At 43.1% G+C, this 16,155-nt stretch overlaps 1 protein-coding gene and 1 pseudogene across 5 annotated transcripts in view, besides 1 other annotated feature; one reads left to right on the top strand and one right to left on the bottom strand.

The window, feature by feature from the left end:
• Positions 1,612–16,155, top strand: part of CWF19L1 (CWF19 like cell cycle control factor 1) — a 35,341-nt gene continuing 20,797 nt past the window's right edge. For 2 of the 5 annotated variants that reach the window (NM_001303404.2, NM_018294.6), the window contains exons 1-6: positions 1,612–1,679; positions 7,187–7,271; positions 8,206–8,284; positions 8,931–9,032; positions 12,774–12,988; positions 15,711–15,829. In NM_001303404.2, the coding sequence (NP_001290333.1) occupies positions 1,657–1,679; positions 7,187–7,271; positions 8,206–8,284; positions 8,931–9,032; positions 12,774–12,988; positions 15,711–15,829 (623 nt within the window). In that variant the 5' untranslated portion in view covers positions 1,612–1,656. Of the gene's footprint in view, positions 1,725–7,186; positions 7,272–8,205; positions 8,285–8,930; positions 9,033–12,773; positions 12,989–15,710; positions 15,830–16,155 lie in introns of all 5 variants that reach the window. The other 3 variants (NM_001303405.2, NM_001303407.2, NM_001303406.2) reach the window with 3 other exon arrangements.
• Positions 3,632–3,881: an enhancer, noted in NCBI's record as "active region_3885". NCBI's record gives its function as "activates an Ori minimal core promoter by ATAC-STARR-seq in GM12878 lymphoblastoid cells {active_cell/tissue: GM12878}" and the evidence as "EXISTENCE:reporter gene assay evidence [ECO:0000049][PMID:35858748]".
• Positions 10,573–10,679, bottom strand: RNU6-422P (RNA, U6 small nuclear 422, pseudogene; annotated as a pseudogene).

Here is a 16,155-nt window from a genome sequence, read left to right as displayed (position 1 = left end):
ATTTGTAGTAGAGACGAGGTCTGGCTATGTTGCCCAGGTTGGCCTTGAACTCCTGTTCTCAAGTGAACCTCCCGCCTCAGCCTCCCAAAGTGCTGGGATTACAGGCATGAGCCACTGTGCCTGGCCTGTAGTTCTTCTTTAATCTTATGTTTTATTAATTTTGAATTATTTAGATGCCCTTGATGAGTCTTCCTTTCCCCGCAGTCGTCAGGAACTCTCTCTTGTTTCCATTTCCTTACACACTTGTTTCCTACCACTTGGCCTGAACCCTTCAAAAAAGTCAATATTACAAAAACTAAAACCAAATAGGTAGGAGGGCTTTTGTAGATTAAAATAGAGACAGAACCAAATGCAAGTGTGAAACTTGATTGCATCTGAATCAAAACAAGCCCCAAATATAAAATCAGTTTGTAGGGAAATATGGAGAACTTTAAATATGGATGTATATTAGGTAATATTATTGAATAATTAATGTTAATTTTCTTAGCTGTGTTAATAGTATTACGGTTATGTAGGAGGATATCCTAATCTTAGGAGATAAATGGAGATGTATTCCTGTTGTCCGCACTTTATTTTATTTTATTTTTTGACACGGAGTCTCGCTCTGTCGCCCAGGCTGGAGTGAAGTGGCGCGATCTCGGCTCACTGCAACTTCCTCCTCCTGGGTTCAAGCGATTCCCCTGCCTCAGCCTCCCGAGTAACTGGGACTGCAGGTGCGTGCCACCACGCCCGGCTAATTTTTTGTATTTTTAGTAGAGAGGGGGTTTCACCGTGTTAGCCAGGATGGTCTGGATCTCCCAAAGTGCTGGGATTACAGGCGTGAGCCACTGCGCCCGGCCTGTACTTTACTTTCAAATGATTGAGTGAGAATGGAAGGGCTTGGGCACTTTGAGAGAAAGAGAACACAAGCAAATTTGCCAACATGCTGAGACTTACTGAATCAAGGTAATAGCCATTATTCTTTTAACTTTTTTTTTTTTAATTTGAGACGGAGTTTCGCTCTTGTTGTCCAGGCTGGAGTGCAATGGCGCGATCTTGACTCACTGCAACCCCCGCCTCCCTGGTTGAAGCAATTCTCCACCATGCCCGGCTAATTTTTGTATTTTTAGAAGAGACGGGGTTTCACCATGTTGCCCAGGCTGGTCTTGAACGCCCGACCTCAAGTGATCCGCCCGCCTCAGCCTTCCAAAGTGCTGGGATTATAGGCGTGAGCGTCCACGCCCGGCCTCTTAACTTTTTGATAGGTTAAAAACTTACAAAAAACGTGGATAGAGGGGGTCTGTCTTGCCCACTAGACCGATATGGTTAGGTTAGGTTAGGTTAGGTTAGGTTAGGTTAGAACCCGACATTGTGCTCTGTACTTCCTAGCCATTCATTCGCTTCAAGTGCTCTGAAATTTAATTTAAAAAATCATAGTTGGAATCCTTTCGGTCACTTTCTCTTTCTCCCTTCGTTCCTCCCTTTCCCTCTTGATTCTTCCTTGAGGCGCAAACACCTGAGAGAGGCTTCTGTCCCTCGGCGGTCTCCGTAAGTAAGTGAACCGTTATTGGCTGGAGGGCGCTGACGTCTGATTGTTGCGCGGTCGCATTTTTCCGGGGAGCGCGGATTCGCATTCCCAATTTTAGGTGGCAGTCGCAACCCATACTATTCGGACAGATGGCACAGAAACCGCTGCGCCTGTGAGTGACCGTGAATGGAAGCCTCTCTCCCTGTGTCTCTTTCGTGTGTGTAGGTGACGACACGGGCGGGAGTCTTTCCCATGACGGGAAGGGAGAAGGAAAAGGCGGAGAGACACGGGGCTGCTGGGGAGCTTAGGTGATGTCTTTGCCTGGCCGGGGCTGACCTCTTTTCCTGGCCCTTTTCGCTTCTGAGGGGGTTTCTCTTGGCGACGCTCGTTCGGAGAGGCGGAAGCTCCCAGAGTTAGGCCTCCTCCATCTTAGGGGGCAGTCCTGGCCTCTGACACATCCTTTCCCCTTCGTTTCTCCTGACCCCATTTATTTACTCGCCAAATAGCCATTGGGCCCACTGATGGGCCCTGGGCAGTGGTGGACAGAGTAGATAGGGACCCTTCCCTGGGGCATTTTTTTTTTTTTTTTTTTTTTGCGAGGAGGAGGGGTGGGGGTGGTGGTGAAGAGAGGGCTTCATGCAGCAAGTATTTATTGAAGAACTGCAGTGTGCCGGACGCTGTGCTAGGTGTTGCAACAGATGGAGTTCCTGCTTTAATGGAGCGTAGAGTCTAGAGGAACAGGTACTAAAGAATCCAGATAATGGGCCGGGCGCGGTGGCTGAGGCAGGAGAATCGCTTGAACCCGGGAGGCGGAGGTTGCTGTGAGCCGAGATCGCGCCACTGCACTCCAGCCTGGGCGACAGAACGAGACTCTCAAAACAAAACAAAACAAAACAAAACAAACAAAAAACAATACAAATAATGGCCGGGCGCGGTGGCTCACGCCTGTAATCCTAGCACTTTGGGAGGCTGAGGCGGGCGGATCACTTGCGGTCAGGAGTTCGAGACCAGCCTGGCCAACGTGGTGACACCCCGTCTCTACTAATACAAAAAAAAAAAATTAGCCAGGCGTGGTGGCGCGTGCCTGTAATCCCAGCTACTTGGGAGGCTGAGGCAGGAGAATCGCTTGAACCCGGAGGCGGAGGTTGCACAGTGAGCCGACACTGCACCTCTGCACTCCAGCCTAGGTAACAGAGTGAGACTCCGTCTAAAAAAAAAGGAATTCAGATAAATGTAAAGTTACCATAGTGATAGGGCCAGGCGCAGTGGCTCACGCCTATAATCCCAGCGACTCCGGAGGCCAAGGCAAGAGAATCACTTGAGTCCAGGAATTCAAGACCAGCCTGGGCAATATAGCAAGGCCCCGTTTCTACAAAAAATACAGAAAAAAAAAAAAATTAGCCGGGCGTGGTGGTCCCAGCTAATTGGGAGGCTGAAGCAGGTGGACCACCTGAGCCTGGGGAGGTCGATGCTGCAGTGAGCTGTGATCGTGCTGCTGATCTCCAGGCTGGGTGACAGATTGAAACCCTGTCTCAAAAAAAAAAAAAAAAAAATTGCAATAGTGGTAACTTTTGGGAAGAAAATATTCGTGAATCTGGGAGAGTGCATAAGAGGGGTATTTGGCTTAATGATAGGAGTCAAGAAGGCTTCCCGAGAATGTTAGGATTGAGCCTTGGGAAATAAGAGTAATCCATTGCTTAACAGCAGGGTTATGTTCTGAGAAATGAGTTGGTAGGCGATTTCGTCATTGTGCGAACATCTTTGAGTGTACTTCCAGAGACCTAGATGGTATGGCTTCCTGTACACCTAGGCTAAATGGTATAGCTGTACGTCAAGTTACTGTACTGAATACTGTAGGCAATTGTAACACAATGGTAAGCATTTTTGTATTTAAATATAGAAAGGGTACAGTGAAAACACCTGGCCGGGTGTGGTGGCTTATGCCTGTAATCCCAACACTTTGGGAGGCCGAGGTGGGTGGATCACCTGAGGTCAGAAGTTCAAGACCAGCCTGGCCAACATGGTGAAACCCTGTGTCTACTAAACATACAAAAATTAGCCGGGTGTGGTAGCGGGCGCCTGTAATCCCAGCTACTCAAGAGGTTGAGGCAGGAGAATGGCTTGAGCCTGGGAGGCAGAGGTTGCAGTGAGCCGAGATCGCACCACTGCACTCCAGCCTGGGCGACAGAGCGAGACTGTCTCAAAAAAAAAAAAAAAGAAAAAGAAAAAAAGAAAATACTGTATACAGGAAAAAAAAAAAGGGCACAACCTGTGTAGGACACTTATCATGAATGGAGTTTGCAGAACTGAAAGTTTCTCTGAGTGAGTTAGTAAGAGGTGAGTGAATGTATTACTTTACAGTATTGTAGACTTTATGAATACTGTACACTTCACCTATATTAAATTTATTAAAATATTATTTTCAACAGTAAACCTTAGTTTACTGTAACTTTTACTTTATAAACTTTAAGTTTTTTTACACTTTTTGACTCTTGTTATAACACAGCTAAGACATAAAACACATTGTACAGCTGTACAAAAATATTTTCTTTATATCCTTATTCTACAAGCTTTTTTCTATTACTTTTTTTTTCTTTTTACCTTTTAAACTTTTTTTTTTTTTGGAGACAGGGTCTCACTGTCGCCCAGGCTGGAGTGCAATTGTGCAATCACGGCTCACTGCAACCTCAACCTCCTGGGCTCAAGTGATTCTCCCACTTCAGCCTCCTGAGTAGCTGGGACTACAGGCGGAAGCTACCACACCTGGCTAATTTCTGTATTTTTTGTAGAGAGGGGGTTTTGCTATGTTACCCAGGCTGGTCTTGAACTCCTGGGCTCAAGTTACCCTCCTGCCTCAGCCTCCCAAAGTGCTGGGATTACAGACGTGAGCCACTGTGCCTGGCTTTAAACTTGTTTTGTTGCAAACTAAGACACACACACGAGTCTAGGCCTACACAGGGTCAGGATCATCAGTATCACTGCTGTTCACCTCCATATCTTGTCCCACTGGAAGGGCTTCAGTAGTAATAACATGCATGAAGCTGTCATCTCCTATGATAACAGTGCCCTCTGGAATACTTCCTGAAGGACCTGCCTGAGGCTTTTTTACAGTCAACTTTTTTTTTTTTTTTTTGAATACGTAGGAGTGTACTCTAAACAGTAAAGAGCATACCATACTGAATATATTTTTTTTTTTTTGAGATGGAGTCTTGCTCTGTTGCCCAGGCTGGAGTGCAGTGCCGCGATCTCAGCTCACTGCAAGCTCTGCCTCGTGGGTTCATGCTATTCTCCCGCCTCAGCCTCCTGAGTAGCTGGGACTACAGGCGCCCGCCACCACGCCCGGCTAATTTTTTGTATTTTTAGTAGAGATGAGGTTTCACTGTGTTAACCAGGATGGTCTCGAGCTCCTGACCTTGTGATCCGCTCGCCTTGGCCTCCCAAAGTGCTGGGATTACAGGCGTAAGCCACCGCACCTGGCCATAGCATGCTAAATATTATACATAAACCAGTAACATAGTTGTTTATTATCATTATCAAATATTGTATACTGTACATAACTGTATGTGCTACACTTTTTATAACCACCAGCCCAGTAGGTTTATACCAGCATTACCACAAACAAATGAGTAATATATTGCACTATGATGTTACAAATGGCTAGACATCACTAGGCGATAGGAATTTTTTAGTTCCATTATAATCTTATGGGACCACCATTACATATGTGGTCCCTTGTTGACCGAAACATTGTTATGTGGCACGTAACTGTATTCTTGTCTTTAACCTAAAAAGGTTATTGAAATGCTTAAGAACGCTTTGGCATGATCAAATTTTCATTTTGGAAAGCAGTTCTGTCTGCAATGTGGAGAACAAATCAGAGCCAAAGTAGAGAACAGCTGGGATTAGGTAGAGTGATGACAGAGGAATAGTTTAGGGATTCAGGGTTTATTAAGGAAGTAAAATCAACAAGGCTTGTGATGGTTTAATTGTGAGTGAAAAGGAGCTGGCCTTGTTGGGTCATAGATTTCTATCTTTATTCAGTGGGATAGAGAACAGTGGAAAAGGGCCCAGATGAGGAGATGAGGCACCTGGTGATGTATAAACTGGACAGTGGATCTCCCAGAGACAATGGTAATTCCGTGTGACAACTGCTGTGATGGAAGAAATGCAGGCTCCTATGGGAACACTAGAAATTGGTAACTGATAGGTACTAGAAGGCTTCCTAGAGGAGGTGGTGCTCAAAATATAAATAAAAGTCATATTAGTTTATGACAAAGCTTTCTCTGAAATGCTGTAATGTGGTTTTCTGAGTTTTTGAGAAGGTAATGACTTCTGAGCCAGCCAGGAAGGCTTCAGAAATGTGCTAAACCTTGAAGGATGGGAAAAACTTGGATTTAGGATGGGTAGGGTGGAACTACCCTAGGGAATGACAGAGGCAGAGAGTAATCAAATTGCCAGTTCAGTTAAGAAAACTTGGAGAAAGTACTAGAAAGGTGACAGGTCAGGGCCTGTGGAAAGCTGTGGTTCTATAGGCAGTGGGGAACCTCTTAATGTTTTGAGGAAAGAACATTAAACTGACTACTTTCTGTAGGATGGACAGGAGGAAGAGAAGGCATTAGAGGAAACATAAATGTATTCTCTACTTTGAATCTAACACTAGATGCATTGTATTTTTGTCTGATTCTTCCTCTGCCATAGGAAGGGGGTGAGGTGGGGTGGAGTGGAGTGGAGGTTGCAGTGAGCCAAGGTCGTGCCACTGCACTTTAGCCTGGGTGACAGAGTGAGACCCTGTCTCAGAAAAAGAAAAAAAAAAAGTTTGGCGAGGTGTACAATAAAAGCACGCCAGAAAGAGACACTCACAAAACAATAAAATTTTAATATTTCAAGATGAGTTAAAAGACATTAAGGAAATGATATAAGCCGTGGAAAAACCACATAAATCAGAATTAGAAAATCTCAGAAATGAGATGATAGTAAAAGTCACTTCACAACGTAGGGCCAGTTTACCTTACCAATGTCAGCTCTTGCCATTTTCTACTTCCTGCCCCATAACACTTCACACATACCTCTGTTGTAGCCCTTTTCTTATAAATTTATAATGATTAGAGTGTCTTCCTTTCCCTGATTATAAACTCTTTGAGGCTTAAACTGAGTCTTCCTCCACCTTGTACTGCTAACATGTTTTTAGCATAGTATACTTGGCATATTGTACTTAGCGTATGGTAGGTGTCCAGTACCTGTTTATCAAATGAATGACTGAAGCCCTGTACTAAGATAGGAGGAGTCGTACTAAGATAGGAGGAGTCAAAATAAGAAGGATAGAATGAATGTGAAAGATGTTTGGAAAAAGGGATTGATGGGACTTGGTGACTGGATGGGGGATTTTTGACTTTTGTTGACCATGTCAGCCATAGACATGTCCACAAAACTTAGGAATGAGGAGAAGAAGCTGGCTCAATTGTGGAGTAAATGATAAGCTAAATTTTAGATACGGCGAGTGGGAGGTGTTGGTGAGACCCTCAGTGGATCTGCCCAGTGGTTTACGTGCACTGAACCTTGCAAGGTAACTGCAGAGAGACTAGATCATGTATCTATCTAATCCAAAAGACCAGTATATACCAAACCCGGCAGGCCCATTTGTTTCCTGAATTGCTATAATGTTTATCTCTTTGTTTGCAGCTTGGCTTGTGGAGATGTTGAAGGAAAGTTTGATATTTTATTCAATAGAGTTCAAGCAATTCAGAAGAAAAGTGGAAACTTTGATGTAAGATGTTTGTTTTTACTGAATTTAATTTTACCTTTGTAGTCACACATAAAAATAAAGTTTGCACTCCTTTAAGTCTTGATTGAACACATACCATTTTTGTTAAATTGAGTTCCCTTCATGAGCATAGGAACTTAGTAGCTGCTGAGTGGCTGGGGGAGGGAGACCTATTTACTGTTTACTATTGATCTTTATATTTTTTGAATTTGAATATTGTTACTTTATCACTGTACAAAAAACTGAAAACAGACTAGCAACACTTCCCTAAGTGATTCTGACCTCTGGGTTTGGGAAGCACAGATCTATTTCATGAATGTGATGAGGATTAAGTCAGGTAACATACATACCAACCCATCACAAGCTTAAAAGCTCTATATGAATGTTGTGTATGGTTGCCAACTAGACTGTAAACTCCTAAGAGTACAGAAGAGAGTATTCCAGGTATGAGGATAATTTGTTCATTGGGTTAAAGGTTGGGTAAAGACAACAGGCAGGAAATGTGTTTTTTATACCTTGTATTTCTCAGATTCTAATATTTTAAGTTTTTTTGTTTCACACGGGGATTCTTTAAAGATCTATTTCTATGTGACTGTATATTCCAGGGAAGGATATGTGGAGAGAGCCATGAATGGCAGAGTGGGACTGGGAATTTGAGGAGCACTTGAATTCTAACTTACTTTAAAAGTTTAGTTCCTTGACTCTCTCTTACCCATCTCTAACTTGAATTTGACAGCCAAAGAGCCAAAACTTAATAATTCATAGAATCAGTAACTGTTAACAGTTGCTGCTAAAGAATTGTATATTGAAATCTGCAAATTGATTAAGAATTAAAAACTGATTTGAAACTATTAAATAACTAGTTGAATATTACTATCAATTATGTACTGTTTGATATTTTAAAATCTCATATATCTGTTTAAAAAACTCATTTTAGCTGCTGTTGTGTGTAGGAAATTTCTTTGGCTCCACCCAAGATGCTGAATGGGAGGAGTATAAGACTGGCATCAAGAAAGGTATAGAAATTATTTTTATTTAACATATGATTTCTAATAAAATTTCAAGGGCCAGAGTTCTTGCAGAGTTGTTTTTCATTATTTAAGAATTTAAGAGTTATTTTCAGTATTTAAGAATTTAAGTTGCTTTTCATTATTAAGACTATCCGGCGCAGTGGCTCACACCTGTAATCCCCGCACTTTGGGAGGCCGAGGCATGTGGATCACCTGAGGTCAGGGGTTCAAGACCAGCCTGGCCAACATGGTGAAACCGTGTGTCTACTAAAAATATAAAAATTAGCAGGGCATGGTGGCGCATGCCTGTAATCCCAGCTCCTCGGGAGACTGAGGCAGGAGAATTGCTTGAACCTGGGAGGCGGAGATTGCAGTGAGCCGAGATTGCACCACTGCACTTCACCCTGGGCGACAGAGCAAGGCTCTGTCTCAAAAAAAAAAAAATAAAATAAATAAAATAGCCAAGCTACAAGGTTGGGTGTAGTATATCCTTAGTGGATAGCTGTTCCACATTTAGGATTGCTAAATATGGGGAATGTGAATGCATGGACTATTTACTTTTAATATAAGTATTTTTTCTATAGAGAGGCATATCTTAAGTTCTAAAGCAGATCTGGTAACTATATGGTGTCATGTCTGTTTCCCTCACTAGCTCCTATTCAGACATATGTGCTTGGTGCTAATAACCAGGAAACAGTAAAATATTTCCAGGATGCTGATGGATGTGAATTAGCTGAAAACATTACTTATCTGGGTAAGCTGATACTTGTTGTATTTTTTTTTTGTTTTTTGTTTTTTGTTTTTGAGACGGAGTCTTGCTCTGTCACCCAGGCTGGAGTGCAGTGGCGCAATCTTGGCTCACTGTAACCTCCACCTCCCGGGTTCAAGTGATTCTCCTGCCTCAGCCTCCTGAGTAGCTTGGATTACAGGCGTGTGTGACCATACCCGGCTAATTTTTTTTATATTTTTAGTAGAGACAGGGTTTCACCGTGTTAGTCAGGATCATCTCGATCTCCTTACCTCGTGATCCGCCCACCTCGGCCTCCCAGAGTGCTGGGATTACAGGCGTGAGCCACCGCGCCTGGCCGATATTTGTTGTATTTGTAATGAACATAATATAGTGTTCTCAGGAATTAGTCTCCCAGGAAATTTTTGGCTAGATTTTTCAGTGATTGCAGCCTGAGATAATGGGGTTTGGAGGGTTTTTTCCCAGAGTCTGTATATGTGCTGCTGTGCCCTTAGGACAATGCCTTTAGGACAGTGGCATTTTTTCTTTATTATTTCTACCACTTAGCCCCAATATCGTTGCGTTCCCACAACCCGGTACACACTTGTTTAGCCAACTGGAGGGATAAACTCCTTGTCTATAGTATATGGGATACTTAAGGTATAAATTATGTTCACACAAAGGAAATTTCATGTATGTGGCTTTACCATACAATCTTGCTAGGTATATACAGCTTACTTGTTAATGAGCCTCCCAACTATTTATAGCTCTAGGTTTCACTCTAAGGTTTTGGCAACTCAGGTTTTTAGTGCTGTTCTTTGGGGGCTTTTTACTCTTTTTTTACTCTCCTTTTTCTGGTTCTAGGTACACTCTTCAGTTCCAGCTTAAAGTTGTTTCCTCCACAGCCCTCTGTATTGCTTTTAGTGGCTCTTTCAATGTCTGGCTGTTTTCAAAAGCACTGTCAAATTTTGCTTTTGTTTTCCCCCCACCTGCTGGCAGTCTGCTGCCTCTTAGATCATTCAACTCTTTTTTTTTTTTTTTTTTAAGACAGTGTCTTGCTCTGTTGCTCAGGCTGGAGTGCAGTGGCATGATCTCGGCTTACTGCAACATCCGACTCCCTGGTTCAAGTGATTCTCCTGCCTCAGCCTTCCGAGTAGCTGGGATTACAGGCACGCACTACCATACCCAGCTAATTTTTGTATTTTTAGTAGAGACGGGATTTCACCATGTTGGCCAGGATGGTCTCGATCTCCTGACCTGGTGACCCGCCTGCCTCAGCCTCCCAAAGTGCTGGGATTACAGGTGTGAGCCACTGTGCTCGGCTTTTTTTTTTTTTTTTAGTTGAATTTACTATTCTTCACATTTCCTCCTTGTTGGTCTTATTTCTCTAGAAAACTTCTTCATTTCCTTTGCTGTAAATGTCCTCTCTCTCCTTCCCCATCATAGTTCATCTTGGCCTTTAGTCTTTATTTGGCTATGGCCCTCCCGTTACCAGTCTTATTTTGCACTAATCCTGTGGGACTTCTTTAAGCAAAAATTGAAGGAAGGACTTTATTTGTTTTGTTGTTTTAATATGGAACTCTTCATGAATTTGCATGTCATCCTTGTGCAGGTGCCGTGCTAATATTCTCTTTATCTTTCCAGTTTTAGTATATGTGCTGCTGAAGTGAGCACTGTTTAGTTTTAACTACACATATCAGATACGCATTTTGAAATTCTGTTGTAGATTTTAACATGAGCCTGACTTATGCAGTTCTTGGTATAGTTTGTAGATTTGGATTAAGGGCATTACTGTAGATATTTGGCAGCCATTTTACTATATGAATTTAGTGCCAGGAAAGGAAAGAGCAGCTAAGGTACTTGGGTTATTTCTGTGAAATAGATTTTTTGGATCCAGTAGGAGGATCAAGCAGTGAACTTGGTAGTGAACATGTGATAGTGAGCTTGAAATACTGGTAGGACATCCAACATATAGTTGGAAGTGAGAGTTATTATTATTATTTTTTGAGATGGACTTTCGCTCTTGTTGCCCAGACTGAATTGCAATGGCATAGTCTTGGCTCACTGCAACCTCTGCCTCCCGGATTCAAGCGATTCTTCTGCCTCAGCCTCCTGAGTAGCTGGGGTTACGGGTGTGTGCCACCATGCCCGGCTAATTTTGTATTTTTTAGTAGAGACAGGGTTTCACCATGTTGGTCAGGCTGGTCTCGAAATCCTGACCTGAGGTGATCCAGCTGCCTCAGCCTCCCAAAGTTCTGGGATTACAGGCATTAGCCACTGTGCTGGTCCGAGAGTTCTTTCTAGAGTATCAGTGTTGAAGAGTATAGGCTTTGGAGAGTTGGTCCCATAATGATGAAAAATAGAGCTGAGAAGAGGATCAAATTATTAAGGAAGAAATACAATCAGAAGGGAAGCAGGTTGATGATAGTACCTTGGTGGGTGGGGATGGTATATCTTCATCTAGGGGGTAGGAACAAAGACATAAAAGTGCTTAGAGGACTGTTTGAGAGGTAAAGATATTGTCAACTTCATGGAATCTACTGAAGATAACATAGTTTCAGGAGAACATTGGCAAATATAGGGTGACCTTTAAGAGAGTGATGGGAGAGGGAAACTGATTGCAGGGGGTTAAGGAACTAATAAAGTAGGCTGGGCGTGGTGGCTCACACCTGTAATCCTAGCACCTTGGGAGGTCGAGGTGGGCAGTTCACGAGGTCAAGAGGTTGAGACCATCCTGGCCAACATGATGAAACCCCATCTCTACTAAAAATAGAAAAATTAACTGGGCATGGTGGCGGTCACCTGTAGTCCCAGCTACTTGGGAGGCTGAGGCAGGAGAATCACTTGAACCCGGGAGGCGGAGGTGGAGGTTGCAATGAGCCAAGATTGCGCCACTGCACTCCAGCCTGGCAACAGAGCGAGACTCCATCTCAAAAAAAAAAAAAAAAAAAAAAAAAGGTAAAGCACTTAGCATGGATGACTCTTCAGAAATTCAAAACTGAAGAGGAGGAAGTTTCTTAGTATGTGTGTTCATTTTGGATGGCGATGATTGAGCATATTTTTTTCTGAACAAAAAGCGCCAGCTGAGTAGACTCAGTAGATGAAAGGGAAGTGAAAATTGATGGAGCAAGGTCTTGAAGGCAACAGGAGGGAATGGAAACAAGGCCACAAGCCAGGAATAACCATAGAAGAGAGTGGCGTCTTAAATTTTTCCTAAACACTTGTTCTTTCCAAATGTTTTCCTTCACTTGGAAGTTGCTGCCTGCCTCCAAGTAGCTGGGACTACAGGCACACGCTGCCATGCCTGGCTAATTTTTTGTATTTTAGTAGGGATGGGGTTTCACTATGTGCATCTTTTCTAGACTGTAGCTTCCTTAGAACTGTATTTTTCTTCGCATTGCCTTTTCCTGTGTCCAGATGTCTGCATTTAAGTCCATGTAGAATCTTCTCTAGAACGCAGAAAGCCTTTTCCCTAATCTTCTCTTCCCAACTTTTTCCAGTAATATTTGTAAGGCACCTGGCATAAACATACTGGCCCGTGGGCTCCAGCAGCCTCCACGTAGGGCTGTTCATATTTACTGAGCAGGAATACTGTTGTAGCCATTCACCATTGATGCCTAGCAGCCAGAAGGGAGCTGCTGGAGAGTTTACACTTCAGACATGTAAAATGGCAGGGACATAGGAGAGTCATGGGAGATTCATCCCCCTATTGATGGCTTTTCATTCTGCAATTCTGACTAAAATTTGTTCATTTTTCTTTGAACCCAGGTCGTAAAGGTATCTTCACTGGAAGCTCGGGGCTGCAGATTGTGTACCTCAGTGGGACAGAATCCTTAAATGAGCCAGTACCAGGTTATAGTTTTAGTCCCAAGGATGTGTCTTCTCTGAGAATGATGCTGTGTACAACCTCCCAGTTTAAGGGTGTTGATATCTTGCTCACATCCCCATGGCCCAAGTGTGTGGGGAACTTTGGGAATTCTTCTGTGAGTAGTGTTTGTTTAGTTGGAATTTCTAAAAGCAAATTGCACTGGCTTGAGTTGGGACTTTTTTCTTTTCCTGTTTATATTGAGTATTTTAGCTCTTGGGTACCTTTTATTAGAAGTCTTCTGTGAAAATTTTCAGGATTCTAAAAGTTCTGTCAACTGATCAAAGCAAAAGTTAATTTCATGAAAGTGTGATTCATAGATGAGACTGCTGAAATCTTAATTATAAAGGAATGGTTTTTTATATTCTCTGCTTCAAGTGCCCTTTCCTAAGCCTCTTAATGTTTTGAGGCTTCACTGATTTTTTTGTTTTTTGTTTTTTGTTTTTTTTTGAGATGGAGTCTCACTCTGTCGCCCAGGTTGGAGTGCAGTGGTGCGATCTTGGCTCACTGCAACCTCCTCCTCCCGGGTTCAAATGATTCTCCTGCCTCAGCCTCCTGAGTAGCTAAGATTATAGGCATGCGCCACCACGCCTGGCTAATTTTTTTTTTTTTTTTTTGAGATGGAGTTTTGCTGTGTCACCCAGGCTGGAGGGCAGTGGCGCCATCTCTGCTCACCACAACCTCTGCCTCCTGGGTTCAAGCAATTCACCTGCCTCAGCCTCCCAAGTAGCTGGGACTATAGGCGCACACTGCCATGCCTGGCTAATTTTTTGTATTTTATTAGAGATGGGGTTTCAGCATGTTGCCCAGGCTAGTCATGAACTCCTGAGCTCAGACAATCTGCCTGCCTCGGCCTCCCAAAGTGCTGGGATTACAGGCGGATTTTTTTGTATTTTTAGTAGAGATGGGATTTCACCATGTTGGCCAGGCTGGTCTCAAACTCCTGACCTCAAGTAATTTGCCCACCTCAGCCTCCCAAAATGCTGGGATTACAGGCATGAGCCACCGTGCCCAGCCTAATTTTTGTATTTTTAGTAGAGACAGGGTTGCCCAGGCTGGTCTTGAACTCCTGCGCTCTAGTGATCCACCCGCCTTGGCCTCCCAAAGTGCTGGGATTACAGGCGTGAGCCACCATACCTGGCCAGATTTTAATATTTTATGAGTAATCTTGAAAAGGATGGTACACCAGGAGTGACAACTATCATGGGGAGTGAAACGCTACACTGGTGGAAGTAAGCCTAAGGAAGATTTTGAAAAGGTTATGTGTGAGGGCAGAAAACACTGGGTGAGCTTCATTGAAGGGAAATGTAAGAATGCATTTGGGAACAAATCTCCATGGTTGGATTCAGGATTATCAGTGATGATCCAGAAGTGGAGCCTGTATACCACCCCTTGCCAGTTTCAGCACCATGTGTCCATGACCAAAAAGGCCAACAGGATACCAGGCATTATCAAGGAGGATGCTCTCTTCCTTTTTGACAAACCCATGATTACTCTTTACGTAGAATACAAGGCATAGAGCTGGTTGGAGCACAAGGATATAGCAAAGCTAGGGAAGATCGAGAGAAGGGCTGCTAAAGTGATGAAGGAAGAGAGAAAGACACATATGATGCTCTGTAAGGAAGGATGAGAAAATGAGGCCCCTTTGTTTTGCGGGGAGCTAAAAATTGATTTTGATCAAGGCTTATAAATAACCATACAGTATATTTATGGAGGAGAAAAGTATAGTTCACCAGTCCCTAAGATGCTAGGACTGACCTCAAAGCTAATTCCCTGCCCTTCAGCAGAAACCTGAAGGAAACAAGCATAAGACAAAAGGAAATTCCTGCTTTACGTAGTGGAAAACAAACTTTGTTAGCTTATTTCCAAGTAATACCTTCTCTTAGAATAGAGTTCATAAATAATGCTGTGGGTGAGAGATCACTTAATTGGTTGTTAACAGAATCTGGGGATGTTCTGGGAGCAAGAATAACTTTGAGCAAACTTCATATTACTTAAGAAGGGTGTGGTTATGCCCTTCCTCAAACTGCCACTTCCTTGACTGAAGCAAAATAAAGGATTATATGCTGGTGATGAAGTCCTTGAATACTCTATACCAGATATTCTGTGGATCCTAGGAGCCCTGAAGCCTAGCTTTTCGCTTTGATTTTCTGAATTGACTATGACTGTCTGGACCCGTGAACTACAGATGCACTACGTAACAAACTAGAGGCTGGGCGCAGTGGCTCACGCGTGCACTTTGGGAGGCTGAGGCGGGCGGATCACGAGATCAGGAGTTTGAGACCAGCCTGGCCAACATGGTGAAACCCCGTCTCTACTAAAAATACAAAAATTAGCCAGGTGTGGTGGCACGTGCCTGTAATCCCAGCTACTAGGGAGGCTGAGGCAGGAGAATCACTTCTTGAACCCAGGATGCAGAGGTTGCAGTGAGCCGAGATTGTGCCACTGTACTCTAGCAGCCTGGGTGACAAAGCAAGACTCCATCTCAAAAAAAAAAAACAAACCAAAACTAGAAGCCCAGTCTGTGGGCTCCAGAGGGAGAGCTTACTTTCCAAAAAAGGTTTTAATAATTTGTGTTTTGGGTATTGATATGGAGGAGTTACCTTTTAATCTCTGGCTTCCAACAGTTGTTCCTATTTCTACATTCATAGTAGTTCAGCTCCCTTATTTGTTAAGATTTTTTCTCTGATTGCCATACTTATGAAATTCAATGTGCAGTTCCTTCTGTCCACATCTGTATTCATGTATAAATTTCAAAGACATTTCAAAATGTCTTATTATTTATTTGCATTTCTTGATAACTTTTGGTCTGTATGGATGACTAAGTTTTTGTTTACTAGGGAGAAGTGGATACCAAAAAATGTGGTTCTGCTTTGGTTTCCAGTCTTGCCACGGGCTTGAAACCAAGATACCATTTTGCTGCTTTGGAAAAGACCTATTATGAGAGGCTTCCATATCGGTGAGTAGCATTTCATTCTTCTTGGCTTTTTGAAGAATTTGCCATGGATCTTCTGTATAAACTTCTCTTGTTCGTTTTTAACCATATAACATCTTGGTTCCATTTGGTTACTCAGACACTGAAGTAAGTGACTCTCAAGTCATTCATCTTCTCTGAGTTTGTTCCCTAATTTGAAATCACTTTGGAAATCCTTCAGTTTCAGAATCAAGAACTTGTATCAGTTTTTTCCTTTTCAGGGCCAGGCATGATGGTGTGTGTCTGTGGTTCCAGCTACTTGGAAGGCTGAGGCAGGAGGCTCGCTCGAGCCCAGGAGTTCAAGACTATAG

Source organism: Homo sapiens, chromosome 10 (genome assembly GCF_000001405.40).
Source record: "Homo sapiens chromosome 10, GRCh38.p14 Primary Assembly".
NCBI lineage: Eukaryota > Metazoa > Chordata > Mammalia > Primates > Hominidae > Homo > Homo sapiens.
The sequence above is the reverse complement of the archived record's forward strand: the minus strand, read 5'-3'. Positions and strand labels throughout refer to the sequence as shown.